This window comes from Homo sapiens, chromosome 12 (genome assembly GCF_000001405.40).
Source record: "Homo sapiens chromosome 12, GRCh38.p14 Primary Assembly".
NCBI lineage: Eukaryota > Metazoa > Chordata > Mammalia > Primates > Hominidae > Homo > Homo sapiens.
In genome coordinates, this window is record NC_000012.12 from 79,913,282 (window position 1) to 79,933,273 (window position 19,992).

Here is a 19,992-nt window from a genome sequence, read left to right on the forward strand (position 1 = left end):
TGAAGATATTCTCATAGTTACCTTCCAGAGTATCTATTACTTTTGTATTTCACATTTAGATCTACAATCCAACTGGAATTTATTTTTGTGTATGGTATAAGGTACGGGGGAGATGAAGATGAACTTTTTCCCCATATAGACAGGTTGACAAGACTCTCTTTTCCCCACTTTTCTGAAATGCCACCTTTATCATAAATCAAGTGTCCATATCTGTCTGGATCTTTTTCCACACTCTATTCTGATTCATTAGTTTGTTGTCTAATTTTGCACTAACACCACATTGTCTTAATTATTGTGGCTTTATAAGTCTTAATGTCCATCAGAGTCGGTCAGTCCTCTCACTTTCTTGTTCCTAAAGATTGACTTGGCTGTGCCTGGTCTTTTTCATCTTTATATCAATTTACCATTTTTCACACATGCATACACAAACAGACAATGCACACATATCTGGGATTTTGTTTGGACTTGTATTAAATCTGTGATTGGTTTCGGAAGAACATCTTTACAATACTTACAGTCTTTCAAGCCATGAACATAGTATATCCCCTCAATTATTTAGCTCAGTGTTTCTCTTAGCCCCTTACAGAAGTCTACAAGGTTAATACTCTCATTCTCTTACAAGCATATGATGGAGTTTTCCAGGAGCTTGTATGTGACATCACAATAGGCTAGATGCAGAAGTGGATATGAGAATTCAGCTGTCTTAATTAAGACATTTAAAAAAATTTCCAAAAATGTAAAACGATGCCACTCTTTTTGTTTCGTAAAATACATCTATTTTTCATAAGCATAATATTTATGTTGGAATGTAATGGGTTATTATTTTAAAATAAATATTTAAAAGTTTTTTCAACTTTATTTTCTAATTTGGTAAATACAGACAGCCAACATAAACAAAAACCTCTTTGGGTTCCTCAATTTTTTTTTAGCATTAAAATAATAACAGACAAAAAATTCAAAATGGTATTTTATTGCAGTCATGTGCATTCACATGAAGTTGTAAGAAGTAATACCAAGATATCCCTTTGTCTAGTTTCTAATGGTAAAACTTTGCAAAACTATAATATAATATAATCAGAATATTAACATTGATATAATATACTGATATTCATATTTACCCAGTTTTATTTATTTGGCTAGTGTGTCCTTGATTTTTAATATTATAAAGGGGGTCCTAAAACCAAAAAGTCTGATAACTGCTGATTTAAAATTTCTTTAACATTTGTTTGTACTTTTTTATTTGTACAGACTGTACATTTATACAATCAATATTGGCATCTTTCTGAACTCGCTTATTATTTCCAGCTTTATGTCCCCATCATCTCCTCAAAATACATGATTACAGTTAGAGTAGGCATGTTTTTTCAGAGGGGTTCAGCCCCATCAGCCACCATTGATGACCTTGTATGATACATGAATAACCTGAGATGGATCATTTGGTCCCTTTCCTGGAAATCTGGAATTAGAACTCAGGAGGAGATAAATCTCTCTAGATAACTAGACCAGAATGTAAACTCTGGAAGTGACCTTATTTTCTGCCTTTTTAAACTGGGAAAACAAAAAATCTGGTTTTCTATTAAAAAAAAAAATCTGGATTTGTTAGAAACAATAATGAGAAACTTAGAGAACTTCTTGAGTTGCATATAGTACCTGATTCTAATTCATTCCAGAAGCCCCAGTTCTATGAGATACTATAATCTTATAAATTATTTAGGCCGGTTCCAATGGGCTTTTCTTACTTACAACCAAGACTCCTAACTAATATATGCACAAAATCCTTCTACCATTTTCCTACTAGAGGTTGGTCTAACACTGTAGGTAAGTATGCGGCTTTGAAAATTGATTCCTTTTTGTTTTTCAAGGGGCTCATAAGAAAATAATTGAGTTGATGGAGTTCTGGGAATCTTAGGGCATTTTAAGACTCCAATTACTATACTGTGAAGTACGTGTGCTTGCTTATGTGTGAGAATGTATGCATGTTTATGTATAAATTTGTTAACAATTCTAGAAAAAGAAATTGGAACACAGGTTTGTTTTTCTCTGTAGAACTAACTTTGTTATATGAAGCCATTCCCTTGGCAGGTCATTGCTAAGATCTGCTGAACAGCAAACAAATCTAAAAACCTAGACACATTCTACAGATGTGATCTTACAATGCAGAATAGATTTTTTTTTTAAATCTAGGCTTAACACTATTTTTGCTTTACATTAAATTGGTATATTTAAAAATTATTATACTGTTGTCAGACACCAGGCTTGCTGTTAAACTTCCAATGACTTACTTCTCATATGTCTGTCAAAAATGATCTCTACCAACCTACACTCATCCATTTTTAATGTGGAATTTTAAATTAATACCCATTATCTTTTCATCTTATTATTTAAAACCCACTATTTTATGCTTTTTGAAGTTCTCTCTCAGCTCCTACAACTTTATCTGCTTAAACGTTACACAGGATAGGGTCAAGATTAAGAACACAAGGACCACTATGTTAGTCTTCCCTTTGGGTTGACACTGAGTGATCAATCAGCAGGCTGACATGTATACAGTAGTTCACCCAGCTATTAGTGAGCCTAATCCTGATAATATTCACGCCAAATTTTTGTCATGTTAACCGTAAAGACATAACAAGAGCCTTTCCATGTGCTTTACAAAAAAAATCAAGCTATACTGTTTGCAACATTTCCCCCAGTTATGTTTCTAAACCTTGACCAAAAAGGAAGTAAAGATAGGTCAACATAACTTGTTTTCAGAAAACTCAAATTGACATCTAGTGTTCAACACAGTCTCTTCCAGAACTATCTGTTTAATAGTGGATATTAGAATTTTGCCAGTGTAGAGTAGAAGACCATTTTAAACAAATGTACCTATAAACAACAAATGTACCTATAAACAACAAATGTACCTATAAACAACAAATGTGTATGTAAATTAAAAGCCATTCCATCAGTTGCCTTCCATCTTCCTATTCTTGTTCTGGTTTATAAATTTTAAAAGTCCTCTTTTCACTGCCTTCAAAAATATTTTCACAAAATTCACGTAACTATGGGCTTCAACATTCCTAATTCTAAGAGACTTGGGGCTGTTTTTTCAATTCATTCTTAAGACAGATATTCATCGACAAATGCTTTATACATTCATAAAGAATGGGGCAAAAGAGCATACTGTATAAAACTGCTTTTCTAATTCTTTCTTCACATTATCTCCTATTGGATTGTTTAAAATTCTAAAACCCAAATTTTATCCTTTAAAACCCCTTTGTCCTTCAAAAATGACTTGCCTTTTTGGTAATTATACTTAGCTTTTCTCTGAACTTTCTGTAGTCCACTTGCAAAAAGCTACAAAATACATCTAACCATATCCAGAATTCCATTATTTGCTTAGAATACTCTCCCAAGGTGTTCATCACATCGTCAAGCAGTCATTCCTCATGAAATAAAAGGTTCAGAGAAAAGGCAAGTATAATACAGAAATAAATACTGAACCATCAACACCAGCTTCTTTGAGTGGCCAAACACTAGCAAACTAAAATTCATTAGTTATATCAATGTTTCTATATTTAATCCATAAAATATTACTGGGAATAGCCATTTAGGCATTTTTCTCCAATTGAGATTTTTCTTTTTTTTTTTCTGCTTGTTGTAAAAGATCCAAAAGTAACATAATTCAAAATCTGTATTTCCCTCCCAGAGACAACCACTGTTAACAGTTGAGGTACTTTACCAGATTTTTTCCCTATGTAAATAACCCCCCAAAGGGCTCATACCATACATACTGTCCTGCAATTAACATTTTTTACATTTGAGTGTTTTTAAAGCGAGAAAAACTTATATAGTATTCCCACATATAAAGACTGGCTCTAAATGTCAAGGATGGGTTGAAAAGGGAAAAAGATGCCATGTTATACAGAGTTAAGAGTTTAGGCCGGGCACAGTGGCTCATGCCTGTAATCCCAGCACTTTGGGAGGCCGAGGCGGGTGGATCACGAGGTCACGAGATCGAGACCAGCCTGACCAACATGGTGAAACCCCATCTCTACTAAAAATAGAAAAAATAGCTGGGCGTGGTGGCACGTGCCTATAATCCCAGCTACTCGGGAGGCTGAGGCAGGAGAATTGCTTGAACCTGGGAAGCGGAGGTTGCAGTGAGCCGAGATCGTGCCACTGCACTCCAGCCTGGTGACGGAGCGAGACTCTGTCTCAAAAAAAAAAAAAAAAAAAAAAGAGTTTAATATATAACAATTATGTCCTATTTCATTTAAGCTGAAACAAATCTGCTGATGCTTACTCAAAGTCAAAATAACCCAACCTTTCTGTACACTACTACTTTCCTCATTAACTGCAACTTTTAAAAATATTAAAACATGCAAAAAACCCTCAATCAAATACTCAAAGCAAGTCCTGTAATATTTTGAGCAAAAAAGAAAAAACATTAAATCTATTAGACATAAAAAGTGTATAAAGGTGTTAGGTTTCTTAGTTGTAACTAATATTTTACCTTTATTTTCCCTGAAAAATACCATTTAGTAAATTTAGAAACTGAGAGAAGTTAGAGATTGTTAAAATTCTTTCACTATACAATTAGAAAAATCCAACATGCTCTGAGAAAATGTACTCTCACCTATCTTAACCTGTGACTTTATTTTCATAGCATACTATTTCAGTCAATAAAAGACTTGTAGATCGTTACTACTACCACTCCTTTATTCCTCTCCAACAGTTCTGTGATCCACTCCTCCCCATACACCTCTGCCACATACATAATATCATAAAAGTAAATTTGGCTTTACTTAGAAATTCTTTACTAATTCTTCTGAACTGAAAAGTACAGAAAAACAAAATTTTGCATATATTTTTAGGCAGTTCACTGAAACCTTAAAAAAAAAAAAACATAATCACGAATCTGTATCCTGCGTTTTTTCTGTATGTTCATAAATTGTTTTCTACTTGGTTTTCACATTTCCAGGGAATCAGAGGCAAGTAAGAGAACAGACTAAATCCAAGGAAAAAACCACACTCCAAGCATGATCTCCATGTATTAGTTATAGTTAGGCCACCCCTCCTCCATGTGTGCACAACATCCTGTACAGATAGCCTATAGTGTACATTTTACACTTGATTTTCATTTCTTGTTTACTTGACTGTCTCCTCCAGTATCATTCTGCAATATCAATACTCTGCTGCTGACCTATACAGTAAGCACACAATATTTACTGCATGCTGTGAAAAGCACCTTCATCATCTAGTTGTCCAAGCCAGAAAACAGGTGCATGCACATCTTTAAATAATCCCTCAAGCCAATCCACCTCCAATTCCTACCAATTCTATTTCATAAATATATTTTAAGTCCATCTACTATTTTCCAACCCTCCTGCCGCTAAGCTAGTTCATCTCATAGTCATCTCTCTCAGACTACCCAACTTCCTCAAATGTCTCTCTACCTTCAGCTTTGTCCTCTCTTTTCAGTGCCTTGTCCACACTGCAGCCAAAAGTGATTTTTCTTAAAAAAGAAAAATTGGTTGTCCATTTAACCTGATTAAAATCCTTCAACTGGCCAGGTGCAGTGGCTCACGCCTGTAATCCCAGCACTTTGGGAGGCCAAGGCGGGCAGATTACTTGAGGTCAGGAGTTTGAGACCAGCCTGGCCAACACGGCGAAACCCCGTCTCTACTAAAAATACAAAAATTAGCTAGGCGTGGTGGCATGCGCCTGTAATCCCAGCTACTCAGGAGGCTGAGGTGGGAGAATCACTTGAACCGGGGAGGCAGAGGTGGCAGTGAGCTGAGATCACGCCACTGTACTCCAGACAGAGCAAGACTCTTGTCTTAAAAAAAAAAATCCTTCAGCACTTCTGTGCACTTCCAGATCTTTACACATGCTATTTTCCCTCTCTCTGAAATAGTTTCCCATAATCTTCCCTCCCTAACAACCTTGGCTAACATTTACTCATCGCTGAGCAGCTCAAACATCAACTTTATCCAGAAAGTCTTCTCAGCCGGGCGCGGTGGCTCACACCTGTAATCCCAGCACTTTGGGAAGCTGAGGCGGGCGGATCACGAGGTCAGGAGTTCAAGACCAGCCTGACCAACATGGTGAAACCCCATCTCTACTAAAAATACAAAAATTAGCCAGGCATGGTGGTGCATGCCTGTAATCTCAGCTACTCAGGAGGCTGAGGCAAGAGAATTGCTTGAACCTGGGAGGTGGAAGTTGCAGTGAGCTGAAATCACGCCACTGCACTGCAGCCTGGGCAACAGAGTGAGACTCCATCTCAAAAAAAAAAAAAAAGTCTTCTCCCCTCCCCCAATCTAGGTGAAATATGCCTTCATAAGCTTCCATACTGTATTACCATTACATATCATTACACATAACTGATGTAAATTTATAATTGTCTGTGTATTATCTATACACTCCAGTAGACTACAAGCTGTGTTAGGGCAGGGGCAATGTCTGGCTGTTCTGTTCACCATCATAATTATAGTGACTAATACCAAGCCTAGGCTGAGGCTGGGGGACTGATAGAAGATAATTACTCTGGCTCTGTCAGTGCCTCAATTTTTAGTAGTAAACACTGATAAATATATACGTTCACTTTTTTAAATGTTTGAGATACCATTCACATACCATAAAATAACCCATTTAAAGTGTACAAATAAACAGATTCACAGAGTTGTGCAACTGTCAGCACAATTTTACATTTTTGTCACCCTAAAAAGTTGTACCCATTAGCAGTTATTCACCAACTCCCCTCAACACCTCTAGTTTCTGGCAACCATTTATCTGCCTTCTTGCTTCATACACAGATTTGCCTATTCTGGACATTTCATATAAATGGAATCATACACCATGTGGTCTTTTGTGACTGGCTTCTTTCACTTAGCATGTTTAAGATTCATCTTTGTAGCAATTATCAGCATCCCCTTTTTGCTACTGAATAATATTCCGCTGATTCCAGGGACAAAACATATCACTTTATTCATCAGCTGATAAGACATTTGTGTTTTCATCTTTGGCTATCATCAATAATGCTGCCATGAACATTACTATACACATTTCTGTGTGGACACATGTTCAATTCTCTTGAGTATACACCTAAGAGTAGAACTGCTGGGTCATACGGTAACTCTGTTTAACCTTTTGAGAAAATGCCAGACTGTTTTGAAAGTGGCTATACCATCTTACTATTACCACCAGCAGTGCATGAGGGTTCCAATTTCTCCATATCTGCTGTGATTTAAATATCCCTCCCAAAACTCATGCTGAAACCTGATCCCTAATGTGGCACTGTTGATAGCTGGGGACTTTGGGAGGTGACTGCATCAGGAGGGCTCTTCTCTCATAAATGGATTAATCCACTCATGGATTAAAGGGTTAATGAATTAATGGGTTATCATGGGAGTGGAACTTGTGGCTTTCTAAGAAGAGGAAGAAAGACCTTGAGCACGTTATCACACTCGGCCCCCTCACCATGTGATACCCTGTGCTGCCTCAGGACTCTACAGAGTCCCCAACAGGCAAGAAGGCTCTCACCAGAGTTGACCCTACAACCTTGGACTTCTTAGCCGCCATAGCTGTAATAAGTAAATCTTTTTAAATAATCCAGTTTCTGGTATTCCGTTATAAGCAAAAGAAAACAGGACTAATACAACATCCTAGTCATTACTTGTTCTCTTTTTTATTAAAGCCATCCTAGTAGGTGTGAACTAGTATCTCATTGTGGGTTTGATTTGCATTTCCCAAATGGCTAATTTCATTTTACTGTCGACTCTATGAGGGTACTGTTGGTATATTTTTGCTCAAAAATGTGTCTTCTCAGCACTTAGTAGTGTCTGGCACAGAAGAGACCTTTAATATATGTTAAATGAATATACAAAAGATGATTTTTTTTTAGGTGTGTGCATGGTAGAGGAGATGTACTGTATGCAAGTGAGGAGAAAACAGAAAAAGACCCTGAGATTCTAGCTTAGTAAATGGAAGACTGATATAAAAAATAAGATATGGATCATGTAAGAAGGAGGACAGATCATATAAAAAGAAAGTTGAAACTACATAAATAACACAAAAAAGAATAATAGACATATGAGAACCTTGGCAACATTCATCTTCAAGAAAGAAACTGACAAAAAGGTACACTAAACAGGTACATTCAGAAGACAAACCAGTAGTGAATAGGGTCATAAAAGGCTCAAAACATCTGCTGATAAGTTACCTATAACTTACAGAGCTTTCTCAGGGATGTCTTCCATTGATACTCTGGGTTAAGCCCGCCTAATAAAGCCTTTAATTTCACCTTGTATCTCTACTCTACCACTTATTTACATTGTAATCATCGGCTCATGCTGCCACCTCAACTAGATTGTATACTACATGTAGCCAGGGACCACTGTTTTTAGAGATTAGTACTGTGCTGGACATATGATAAATGGTGATCTCTCTATGTTTCTTGCATGAATGAGTTATTCACTAATTTAAATGAATAACAGCATCATATAAATGAATACAGATATTGTTTAATATTTTAATAACTTCAAAATTTTCAAACATTAGAACTAAACCTTACATAAAGAAAAAAGGAAGAACACTTTTTACCTTGTCTTCCCCAATTGCTTCTCTGAGTGAAATACAACTAATTTTATTCTCACAAACACACACACACAGAGTAATAAAGCAATAAAACAATTTTCCTCAGCCAGGCATGGTAGTGCATGGCTGTAATCCAAGCACTTTGGGATGCCAAGGCAGGAGGATTGCTTGAGCCCAGGAGTTTGAAACCAGCCTGGGCAACACAGCAAAACCTTGTCTCTACTACTAATAATAATGATTTTAAAAGTCAGCCAGTTGTGGTGGGCACACGCCTGTAGTCTCAGCTACTCAAAAGGCTGAGGTGGGAGAATCACTAAGGCCAGGCAGTCGAAGCTGCAGTGAGCTGTGTTCACACCACTGCACTCCCAGCCTGGGTAACAGAGCAAGACCCCATCTCAAAACAAAACAAAAAAAACAATAAATAAAACAAAAATCTGCCTGTGGGTGACATATAGGGGATAACATTATCGCATCAATTTAACAGATGTGTCAACATGAGTACTTTCACGGTTAGTTTTCCATTTTCAATATACTAGAAACTTTATTAAAAATGCCTTTTGCAGACTTAGAACTAACCCAAATCCCCATCAATGATGAACTGGATAAAGAAAATGTAGCACATACACACCATGGAATACAGTCATAAAAAAGAATGAGTTCATGTCCTTTGCAGGGACATGGATGAAGCTGGAAGCCATCATTCTCAGCAAACTAATACAGGAACAGAAAACCAAACACCTCAGGTTCTCACTCATAAGTGGAAGTTGAACAATGAGAACACATGGACACAGGGAGGACCATCACACACTGGGGCCTGTCGGGGGCTCAGGGGCAAGGGTAGGGAGAGCATTAGGACAAATACCTAATGCATGCAGGGCTTAAAACCTAGATATGAGTCGGTAAGTGCAGCAAACTACCATAGCATAAGTATACCCATGTAACACACCTGCACGTTCTGCACATGTATACCAGAACTTAAAAGTAAAAAATTTTTTAAAAAGTATTTTGTATAAACAATCATTTAAATGGCATGTTATTTTGAGCAAAACATAAGATTGCAGATAAGATTTCTAAGGAACAATCCTAAGGAATACAATGTGATGAGCGAGTAAAAATGTACATGGTATAGGCCAGGTGCGATGGCTCACACCTGTAATCCTAGCACTTTGGGAGCCCGAGGTGGGTAGATCACCTGAGGTCAGGAGTTCAAGACCAGCCTGGCCAACATGGTGAAACCCCATCTTTACTAAAATACAAAAATTAGCCGGGCATGATGGCGGGTGCCTGTAATCCCAGCTACTCGGGAGGCTGAGATGGGACAATCGCTTGAACCCAGGAGACGGTAGTTGCAGTCAGCCGAGATCACGCCCCTGCACTCCAGCCTGAGCTGCTGAGGGAGACTTCGTCTCAAAAAAATAAATAAATAAATAAATAAGATGTACATAATATTCACCATATGATAAAAAGTGGAAAATATACTAAATGTTCATCAGGAAAGGACTAGGAAAATAAATTCCAAGATGTATATGCACATGCACACACAATGGAATACGATACACTCATTAAAAGGGAAAATGTATATGAATATTCTTTAACACAGAAATGTTTCTTAAAATACATAATGTTTCAAAACTGGTTATAAACCAGAAAATTAGGTATGACCCCATTTATAGAAAATTACATACTTGTACAGAGATATTTAAAAGGATGTTAAACTTTTAAATGGAGCAAAGTCCAGTCCCGAAATTTTGGATAACATTTTATTTTTTACATTTGTCTTTAGTGTTTTAATTAAATAATTATTCTTAAACTTTTACAACTATTTTTATTTGGGATAAAATTCACATACAACATTAAACATACAAAAGTAAGCCATGTTTAAAAATAAAAAGGAGAGGCCAGGCACGGTGGCTCACGCCTGTAATCGCAGCACTTTGGGAGGCTGAGGCGAGTGGATCACCTGAGGTCAGGAGTTTGAGACCGGTCTGGCCAACATGGTGAAACCCAGTCTCTACTAAAAATAAGAAAAATTAGCCGGGCGTGGTGGTGGACGCCTGTAATCCCAGCTACTCGGGAGGCTGAGGCAGGAGAATCACTTGAACCTGGGAGGCGGCGTTTGCAGTGAGCCGAGATTGTGCCATTGCACTCTAGCCTGGGAGACAGAGCAAGACTCCGTCTCAAAAAATAAAATAAAATTTAAAAAAAAGGAGATGGGGATGACCCATATAAAAGCAAGACACTGAAGACTTAATAATTACTTATTAAATTTTCATGTATATCAAAAAATAATGGAAAACACTGAGAAGATCAACAATATAAAGGCATTTTAACTGTAAAAAATGATGGTTCAAAGAGTTAAACAGCAATAGGCATTTTAAAAGAAAAAATCTTGAATATGCTACAGAGTTCTTAAGTAGATTCCATGTACTTGGAAGGAATACAGAAATTGCTGAATATGTCATCTGTCCAAACCTTTTAAGAAAAACTGTAGAAATTAAAATATCTTTGAGAAAAACAATAGTTCTTAATGACATAGTGTCATGATCTAGAGCCAGCAGCATCACAACCTTTTTTTAAAATGTGAGACCTGGTCTCACTCTGTCGTTCAGGCTAGAATGCAGTGGCGTGATCACAGCTCACTGCAACCCCAACCTCCTGGGCTCAAGCAATCCTCCTGCCTCAGCCTCCTGAGTAGCTGGGACCACAGATGCGTGTCGCCATGCTCAGCTAATTTTTAAATTTTTTGTAGAGACAAGGTCTCACTTTGTTGCCCAAGCCAGTTTTGAACTCCTGGGCTCAAGCAATCCTCCCACCTCGGCCTCCCAAAGTGCTGGGATTACAGGCATGAGCTACTGTGCCAGGCAGCACCGAAATCTTTTGCAGAAAACACAAACATATACAAAAAAGACTATGTTCACAAACTATAACATTGACTTGTTTCATCAAAATCTAGAACACAAATGAACAGTACTTTAGGTTTACAAATTCTGAAGCATACTCAAATCCACACAACGTAAAGAGTTAACTTAAATCCAAGGTGACATTTATGATCATATTCCAGTTAAGAATAAGCTTTTTAGAAAATATCATGTAATCACGGATATTTATTAACCATGATGACTACATGATCCACCTTTATTCACCAGATGCATCTTCGAATGATATCATTTTCAAAATTTAAAAACTCTCCTGAAAGAAAAAAAAACTCTCAACACTGAGGATATTTTAAAAAAATGTTCTGGAGCTGAAACTCCAACAGAAAAGCTCTAGAAGTGTTCCATGCAAGAATATAAATATTCAAATAAGTTTATAACCATCTAAAACAATTTTGAAGGCTAATAAAATATATATAATTTGGGATGTTTATTACAAGTAAAGGTTGAGTGCATACGTGTACGTGTGTGTGTGTGTGTGTGTAACAGTCCATGAAAATATACTTTCCCACATGGTTATTAATCTTTAAGAGGGTGCCAAGTGACATCTCACAAAATGTATTCTCCTCTGCACTATGCAGTATTCAAGAAAATGACATGAGCTTTGTACAATCTTATGATTTTATTGTTAGAGGTCATGTTAAACTAAGAAAATAGTAATTTCAGCTCAAATGTGAGTTAAATCATCAAGTTAAAGTAAAGCTTTTTATTAAGTGAAGCTCTCTCTGCAGAATATCTCACTTAATATACATAACATTTAAATAGACTACTAAAAAAGTGACAGCTGAGGAATGCTTTCACTTCTTTCCATGGTTTCTACTGAATGTCATTTCAGAAATGCCTATACAACACATGACAATGTGGAATGTCTCCTCCCATGAAAGAGCATTTGAGTTGAGCAGCAAGCACACTTAGGGCAGTAACACAGAACTCAAGCGTGTCTTTTTATGGTTAGCCAGCATAACAATGCAAAGATAAACAACCAAAACACTAATAAGGTCAGAAAATACTGACATAGAGGGAGCCATAGTAAAAATGTTATTTGGAAAAAAAAAGTATCAGTAAAATAACAGAAAATATGCATTATTTCTAATATTACCATGCTAGAGATTTCTTTTCTTTTTCTTTCTTTTCTTTTCTCTTTATTGGTAGAGACACCGTCTCCCTATATTGCCCAGGCTGGTCTTGAACTTCTGGGATCAAGTCTCTTGCCTTGGCTTCTCAAAGTGCTGGGATTACAGGTGTGAGCCACTGCATCCAGCCTAGAGATTACTTTTCTAAATGAACACTCAAGGATTTGTTTAAAGAATTTTTAAACTAAGTTACATAAACTGAAGCGTCTATTGATAATCAGTAATAGATCTCATTTCAAAAATAAATCTAACATCCCAATAATTTTTTTCTTTAAGACAGAATCTCGCTCTGTCGCCCAGGCTGGAGTGAAGAGGCATGATCTCAGTTCACTCCAACCTCTGCCTCTTGGGTTCAGGCGATTCTCGTGCCTCAGCCTCCTGAGTAGCTGGGATTACAGGCATGCGCCACCATGCCTGGCTAATTTTTATTTTGTATTTTTAGTAGAGATGGGGTTTTGCCATGTTGGCCAGGTTGATCTCAAATTCCTGAGCTCAGGTGATCCGCCTGCCTAGGCCTCCCAAAGTGCTAGGACTACAGGCGTGAGCCACCATACCCAGCCACCTAATAAATGTTTTGATTGTAATAATGGCTACCTTTACATTGTAAGTATTATAAAAGTAAGTGGTTGATATAAGCTTTTTTATTAGGACATTTTAAAAGTTTGTCAGTGTGTTACACTTACCCAATTATTTAATATTCTATGAATTCTGCTCTTCAAAATATTAGTTTACATTGTGTCCAATTTTTTTTAATCATTAAATATTTATTGTGTACCTACTAAAACAAAATGCCGATACAAAAGGAGATTTAAAGAAAAAAAGAATCAAAGTCCCTACCTTAAGGGTATATAAGGGACTTCTTCCCCCCCACCCCCAGTATCCATGGTATGAAGTTTCCTACAATTTGTCTCTAAAAAGAATCAAATATGTACATGTACGTATGTATAAAAAATTTACTGTAAATGATTAAAAAAAACTAAAACAGGCTAAGTGCAGTGGCTCACGCCTGTAATCCCAGCACTTTGGGAGGCTGAGGTGGGAGGATCACTTGGGCCCAGAAGTTTGAGACTAGCTTGGGCAACACGGGGAGACTCTGTCAAAGAAAAAAAAAAATTAGCTGGAAGTGGTGGCACATGCCTGTATTCCCAGCTGATCGGGAGGCTGAGGTGGGAGGATCACTTGAGCCCAGGAAGGCTACAGTGAACTATGTTCATGCCACTGCACTCCAGCCATGGTGACAGAGTCTGTCACCCTGTCTCAAAACACACATACACACACCACACCCACACACACACCCAACAACTGAAACGATATAAATTGCTATTAGGGTAAAGAAAAATAAAGGTAGTTAAAAATTAAATTCTATGTCCTGAAAAAAGGAGTGTTTCTTGTTGCTGCTGATATATTCTGCACATAATGGTAAGTCAAAAATAATCTTGGCACTTCCTAAAATTTAGGACAATTTCGAATTCTGAGATTAATTTAGATACAGTACTACTGCACTTCAATTACCATAGAAAGGTCTTAAAAGTATGGGCTAGCTAAAACAAATGTGGATGAAGAAAAAAATTATATGTGTGTTTCACTTGATTTTCAGCTAATTTACAGAGAAACCTCCAATTACTAAACACCACCATAATGATGAAAAGATTTAAGAATATTTTCTTCTTCAGACTTCAAAGAAGATACCTGGCATAGGGTAAAGTTTGAGTTTCGGCATCAAACAGACCTGCATAAGAATTCCAGCTCTGCCATTTATTTTCTTGTTAACTTTGAGCAAGTGAAAAAGCATGTTGTGAAAATTAAACTATTGTTTGGAAAAGCACTGCTCCTCAATAAAACACTGATTAAGTCATGGCTACTACATATCTGACTCCAACTGAGAATAAACTTATAATTGTTGGAGTTCTTCAACCTTTCAAAGAGGTATACCAAAATGCCAATACCTCATCATCTTCTCAACCTTATTGTGGAGCCCCACAAACTTTCAAAAGAAGGGTGGAGTAAAAGATGGCAATTTTTTGCAGGCAGAGGCAATGAAAATAGCAACTTCATATAGTGTCAAGAAGTAACATGTTATGGTAGTAACAAAACAACGTTTTATGCCTCCCCCTATTAAAAGGTTTTTAAATAGTTTTCTTTTAAAAATCATCTAATAAGATTTTTAAAACACTTTTCTTATGTGAACTGTAATTTTTAAATGTGGTAATAACAAATGGATGATGAAAAACACTTCCTCTATTCCATCCAGTGTTTCTACCTGGCTATAGAAAATGCTCAGTCACAGCTTGCAATCATACTGTAGCTGAGGCACATGAAAGATGGTCTTGGTTATGACACCTCAAAGTCAGACCACAAAAGTGTTGCCAGGAAGCACAGAGGCAGCAACTACAGAAAAAGCATTAGAACAGCAGCAGTGTGGGCACTGGTGCCCTACCAGCACACCCCATATATGGCTAGGGTTGCCCACTTATTTGTAGGAAGTGAGGGGCCAGTTTGGGGTTGGGAGGGTTTTATTTGTTTGTTTAGGTAGGTTTTTAAAAATGGATTTAGGATGATTTCAATAAAAACTTTTGAAAGGCATGAGCATAAAGTGTTACAGCTTTTCTAAAAAGAAAACTATGCAGAGAAATATTTTACACTGCACATTCTTTTAGACACAAATTTTAATGCTCTTTAAAAGTTATCCAGTAGGTTCTTCCAAGATCTTAACATTCTCCATCAAAAAAAGGGTAAACAGTTACAAACTATAAACTCTTAATTCAGATTTTACATAGTAATCAAACTATTTGCTAACAAGCAACTCAAAATTAATTGCTTCCAGTCTCTTTTACACTTCACATCTTAAGAAGACTACACAAAAGTATTCCCTTTACTGACGAGAGGATCACATATTTTACAAAGATGCTTAAAATGGCTCCCTTAGAAGTAGATCAAATTTGTATTTTAAAAGCAAAAGGATTTCATATTAAACCTATCTGTAAGTCTGTCTGTTTTGGAAAGTAAAAGAAAAACTATTTTAAAATTCTAATAGCATAGAACATGGAACTAATTCTACTTTGTATTCCTCTAGAAGTGGTACCCAACCTTGGCATCAGGAACTAGTTTTGTGAATGACAATTTTTCCACAGATGTGGGTTGGGGAGTGGGGCCGGATGAAACTGTTCTACCTCACATCATCATCAGGAATTAGATGCTCATAAAGAGCACACAACCTAGATACCTCAGAAGCGCAGTTCACAATAGGGTCCGCACTCCTATGGGAATCTAATGCCGCTGCTGATCTGACAAGAGGTGGATTTCAGGCAGTAATGCTAGCTTGCCAGTGTGTCGCTCACCTCCTGCTGTGTGGCCTTGTTCCTCACAGGTCGTGGATCGACCTGTCCACGGCCCAGCGTTTGTGAACCCCCGCTCTAGAGGATCTAGCTCAGACTCTTACAAAGTGAGTAATTAATTAGTGACTCAACTGGATATAATATTTTTCTACCACTTAACCAATATCTAGACTGCTTTAAAATTTAATAGAAAGGAGGTCGATATTAAGAATTTTTTAGGCCGGCCACAGTGGCTCACACCTGTAATCCTAGCACTTTGGGAGGCCAAGACGGGCGGATCACTTGAGGTCAGGAGTTCGAAATGAGCCTGGCCAACATGGTGAAACCCCATCTCTACCAAAAATACAAAAAAAATTAGCCAGGCATGGTGCCACGCACCCGTAATCCCAGCTACTTGGGAGGCTGTGGCAGGAGAATCACTTGAACCTGGGCGGCGGAGTTTGCAGTAAGCCAAGATTACACCACTGCACTCCAGCCTGGGTGACAGAATGAGACTCCATCTCAAAAAAAAAAAAAGATTTTTTTAAAATCTCAAGATATTAAAATATATTGAAATCTACAACAAAGTTTTTAATTTGTTTCATAATCACACAAATTCCATTATGTGCAAGAACAATACGCTAAGTATCTGATGCGAAGGTTTCAAAAATATATCTCACAACATAAAAATAACTCTAAAACTTCCTATTGATGAGGTAAAAAGATAAAAATTCAATAAACCTTTAGTGAGCATCTACTATGTGCTAGGCTCTGGAAATACAAAAATTGTGGAAGATTAGGTCCTCAGAGGCTACAAGGGAAGACAAACACAAACACTATTCAGTAAAAAGTGTTTTTATTGCAGGAGAGGCAGAATATAAGGTACAGTGAACACCCCAGAAAAGAGAATGTGAATCTTGAACAATGACTAGAATTTTAATTGGCAAACGAGGGAGAGAGGATAAAAGGCATGGCTAAAGGCATGGAAATAAAAAATGTAAAGATCTAGTTGAAACGTAAGCAAGTTAACCAATTTCTATAAAGGATACAACACAATGGAGATGTATCAACCATAAGCTAAATGATAAAATGTACTATATCCAAATTTAGAGAGAGGAATAACACCATCAAAATGATACTGTTCAAAGATTAATATGACAGCAATATGCATGCTAGATTAAATAAGGGAGAGAATAGAGGCAGGAAAAACAATTAAGCTATTACTATACTCTAGGGATAAAAATAAGGCTAGGTGCGGTGGCTCACGCCTGTAATCCCAGCACTTTGGGAGGCCGAGGCAGGTGGATCACCTGAGGTCAGGAGTTCGAGACCAGTCTGATCAACATAGAGAAACCGCATCTCTACTAAAAATACAAAATTAGCTGGGCATGGTGGCACACGTCTGTAATCCCAGCTACTTGGGAAGCTGAGCCAGGAGAATCGCTCGAATCCGGGAGGTGGAGGTTTCAGTGAGCCAAGATAGCGCCATTGCACTCCAGCCTGGGCAACAAGAGCAAAACTCCATCTCAAAAAAATAAAATAAAATAAAATAATAAAGGTATGAACTAGGTTGCCAGTAAAAAGTGGCAAAGAAAAGAACTGATGCCAAGGTAATTGTAAAGAAAAGACTGAGCTAGAAGACAGACTGGATTATGCATAGACAAGGGGAATGAGTAAACAATAACTAAAATGTTTAACTTGATTCTAAAGATTAATACATCATTAACAGAAACAGGAACATCAATGAGAAGAGTAGACTTGATGAAGAAAGATAGACCTGTTTTAGGTTGAATTTAAAGAAATTCCTGACGATGTAAAATTGTCTTACCACCAAATTAATAATACTTTTAAAATAATTAGTTAAAAAGGATGCTGGTAAAGTCTAAAGATAAGTATCTCTAATGTTAACGGATAAACGTAAAATTATAATACTGAATTGCAACTATGAAAATCTATATTTGAACAATAAGAAATCCTTTGAAGAAATCACAAAGGTTAACGTGAATACAGTAGTTGCCATTCTATGGCAAAGGGGGTGAACTTGTATTTACTATATTACTACTTAAAAGACATTATTAAATATAAAATTACAATACATTTAATATTTCATTTCAAATCAATACATAACCCCAAAAAATGGAAATGAGGCTTGGAGCTTTGCAGAAATGAGGGAACTGTAAACTGACTTGGAAGTCACTGGCACAGAGGAAAAAGAAAAGATTTTAAGGCTAAAATCAACAGGCTAAACTCAAAACTGCTGGAGAAAAATCTCAGCCCTGTATTTTATGCACACCAGTATCAGTAAGAATCAGCAATAAGGCATTCTATATATAACTTTATTAATCTCCTTAAATCTTTACAAAATATGCTAAAATAGAGATATAATCACATACTGTAAAACTCTACCAGGTAGCTATAAAATCAGAAGCTGATTATTGCCCCATTGGTAATAATGAAATTCTACTCTAGACCTCGGTTCTAGAAAAACCAGAAATTTGTATCTATGGTTAACTTTGTGCTGTTTTGTAGCTTTGGGGGTCAGGTCCTGGGTAGAGTGGGTGGGGGAGAAAGGCTACTCTGGAGACTAAGATAGGAAATTTGACAAGAAACGCTGCTTTTTCTTCTATACAGAGGACACATTTCTATACAAAAAGAACAGCTGAAGACTGGATATCTTTTATAACTTCTAATGAGGTAGCACATTCAACAAATTAATAAACCTTTAAATATAAGCTCTTTAAAGTAAAAGCAAAATATTCGATTTTCAAAAGCATATTTGTGGGTTGTGATGTTCCTAAAACTTTTCTCTTGACAATGAAATTTAGAACACTTGATCAAAACCAGAAAGTAAATGAATATTCAAAAAACAATCAACAATTAACCCCGTTATACATTTTAGGTATTCTACGATCTTTTGAGAGGTTAAAGTTTTAAAGAACTATTCAAGGACTATTAAATCAGTGATTTTAGTTTTTACAATTAAGTATGGAAAACAAGCTAAGTTCAAGAGATTTCTTAAAGGCTTAAAATTTTCTTGTGTGTGTGTGGTTTTTAATTTTATTTATTGTCTTTCACTAACTGTTGTCCTAAATTTGCCCAAAGTGAACTCCCTGTTTTCATAGTAACAATGGGAAAAAAGTACAAGAGTTGATAAATAAGAAATGAGAGTGAAGAAAACATAACACAAATTTTTAATGCTTGATATTTTAAAGACTTTGGCTTCACCGATTTAAGGCATTTGCAGATATGGAAAAATGTTATGGAAAAGGGGAGGCGGTTGGAGATTATCGGGTCAAACCCACACTCACAGTGACAAAAAGTGACAGAAAGATATTACGCAAATGGAGTAAATTTAGAAACTTCTGTTTGTCAACTAAAACAAAATACCCAATAAAGATATATCTACACAACACCAAACTGACCACTGAATTCAGTTAATCAGGAAGACATTGGTAAGTCTGACAATTCTTGTAACGTGTGAATATTGAGAGGAGAAAAAAAGATCTTAAGAAGGCAGTTAAATGTATTTTCTCTTCCTCCCTAAACCAGTATCACAATAATGTAAATATCAAAACTTTTCGTCTTCCTCTAAGCCAATACAACTGGGTTCCTCCACAACAATAGTAACTTTAAATTTCTATTTGACAATTTGAATAAAACATATTGATGCGAACCATTATCCAATTATCCTGACCTCCTACAGTAATAATCGTCTTTCAAAATCTGTTTCACACTAAAACGTGTAAAGTACACTTGAAAGAAATTTGAAGATTCATCTTATATAATTACATTATCATTTTTAATGCCAAAAGTTTCCTTCATTCTCAACACCATGGTTTTAAAATTTTACGAGTTATGATATGCCTTAAATAAACTTCACCCAAATAAAAAGTTTGCTATGCATTAGAGAATCTAAATTAATGAAATTGAGAAAGCGCTAGACACCCTGCTATATTTTTACTGGGTGCCACATTTTTAATTCCATATTTGTCCTGCAATGTGTCAATCATTTCAATATATCCAGTCAAC

General features: G+C 36.5%; 1 protein-coding gene across 5 annotated transcripts in view; it reads right to left on the bottom strand.

Annotated features, from left to right (window-relative positions):
- Nucleotides 1-19,992, bottom strand: part of PPP1R12A (protein phosphatase 1 regulatory subunit 12A) — a 161,898-nt gene that overhangs the window by 139,719 nt on the left and 2,187 nt on the right. The window contains exon 1 of one of the 5 annotated variants that reach the window (NM_001143886.2): nt 516-630. The exons of the other annotated variants lie outside the window; for them this stretch is intronic. The gene's annotated coding sequence lies outside the window, so the exon portion shown is untranslated. Of the gene's footprint in view, nt 1-515; nt 631-19,992 lie in introns of those variants that run through there. 5 annotated transcript variants of the gene reach the window in all.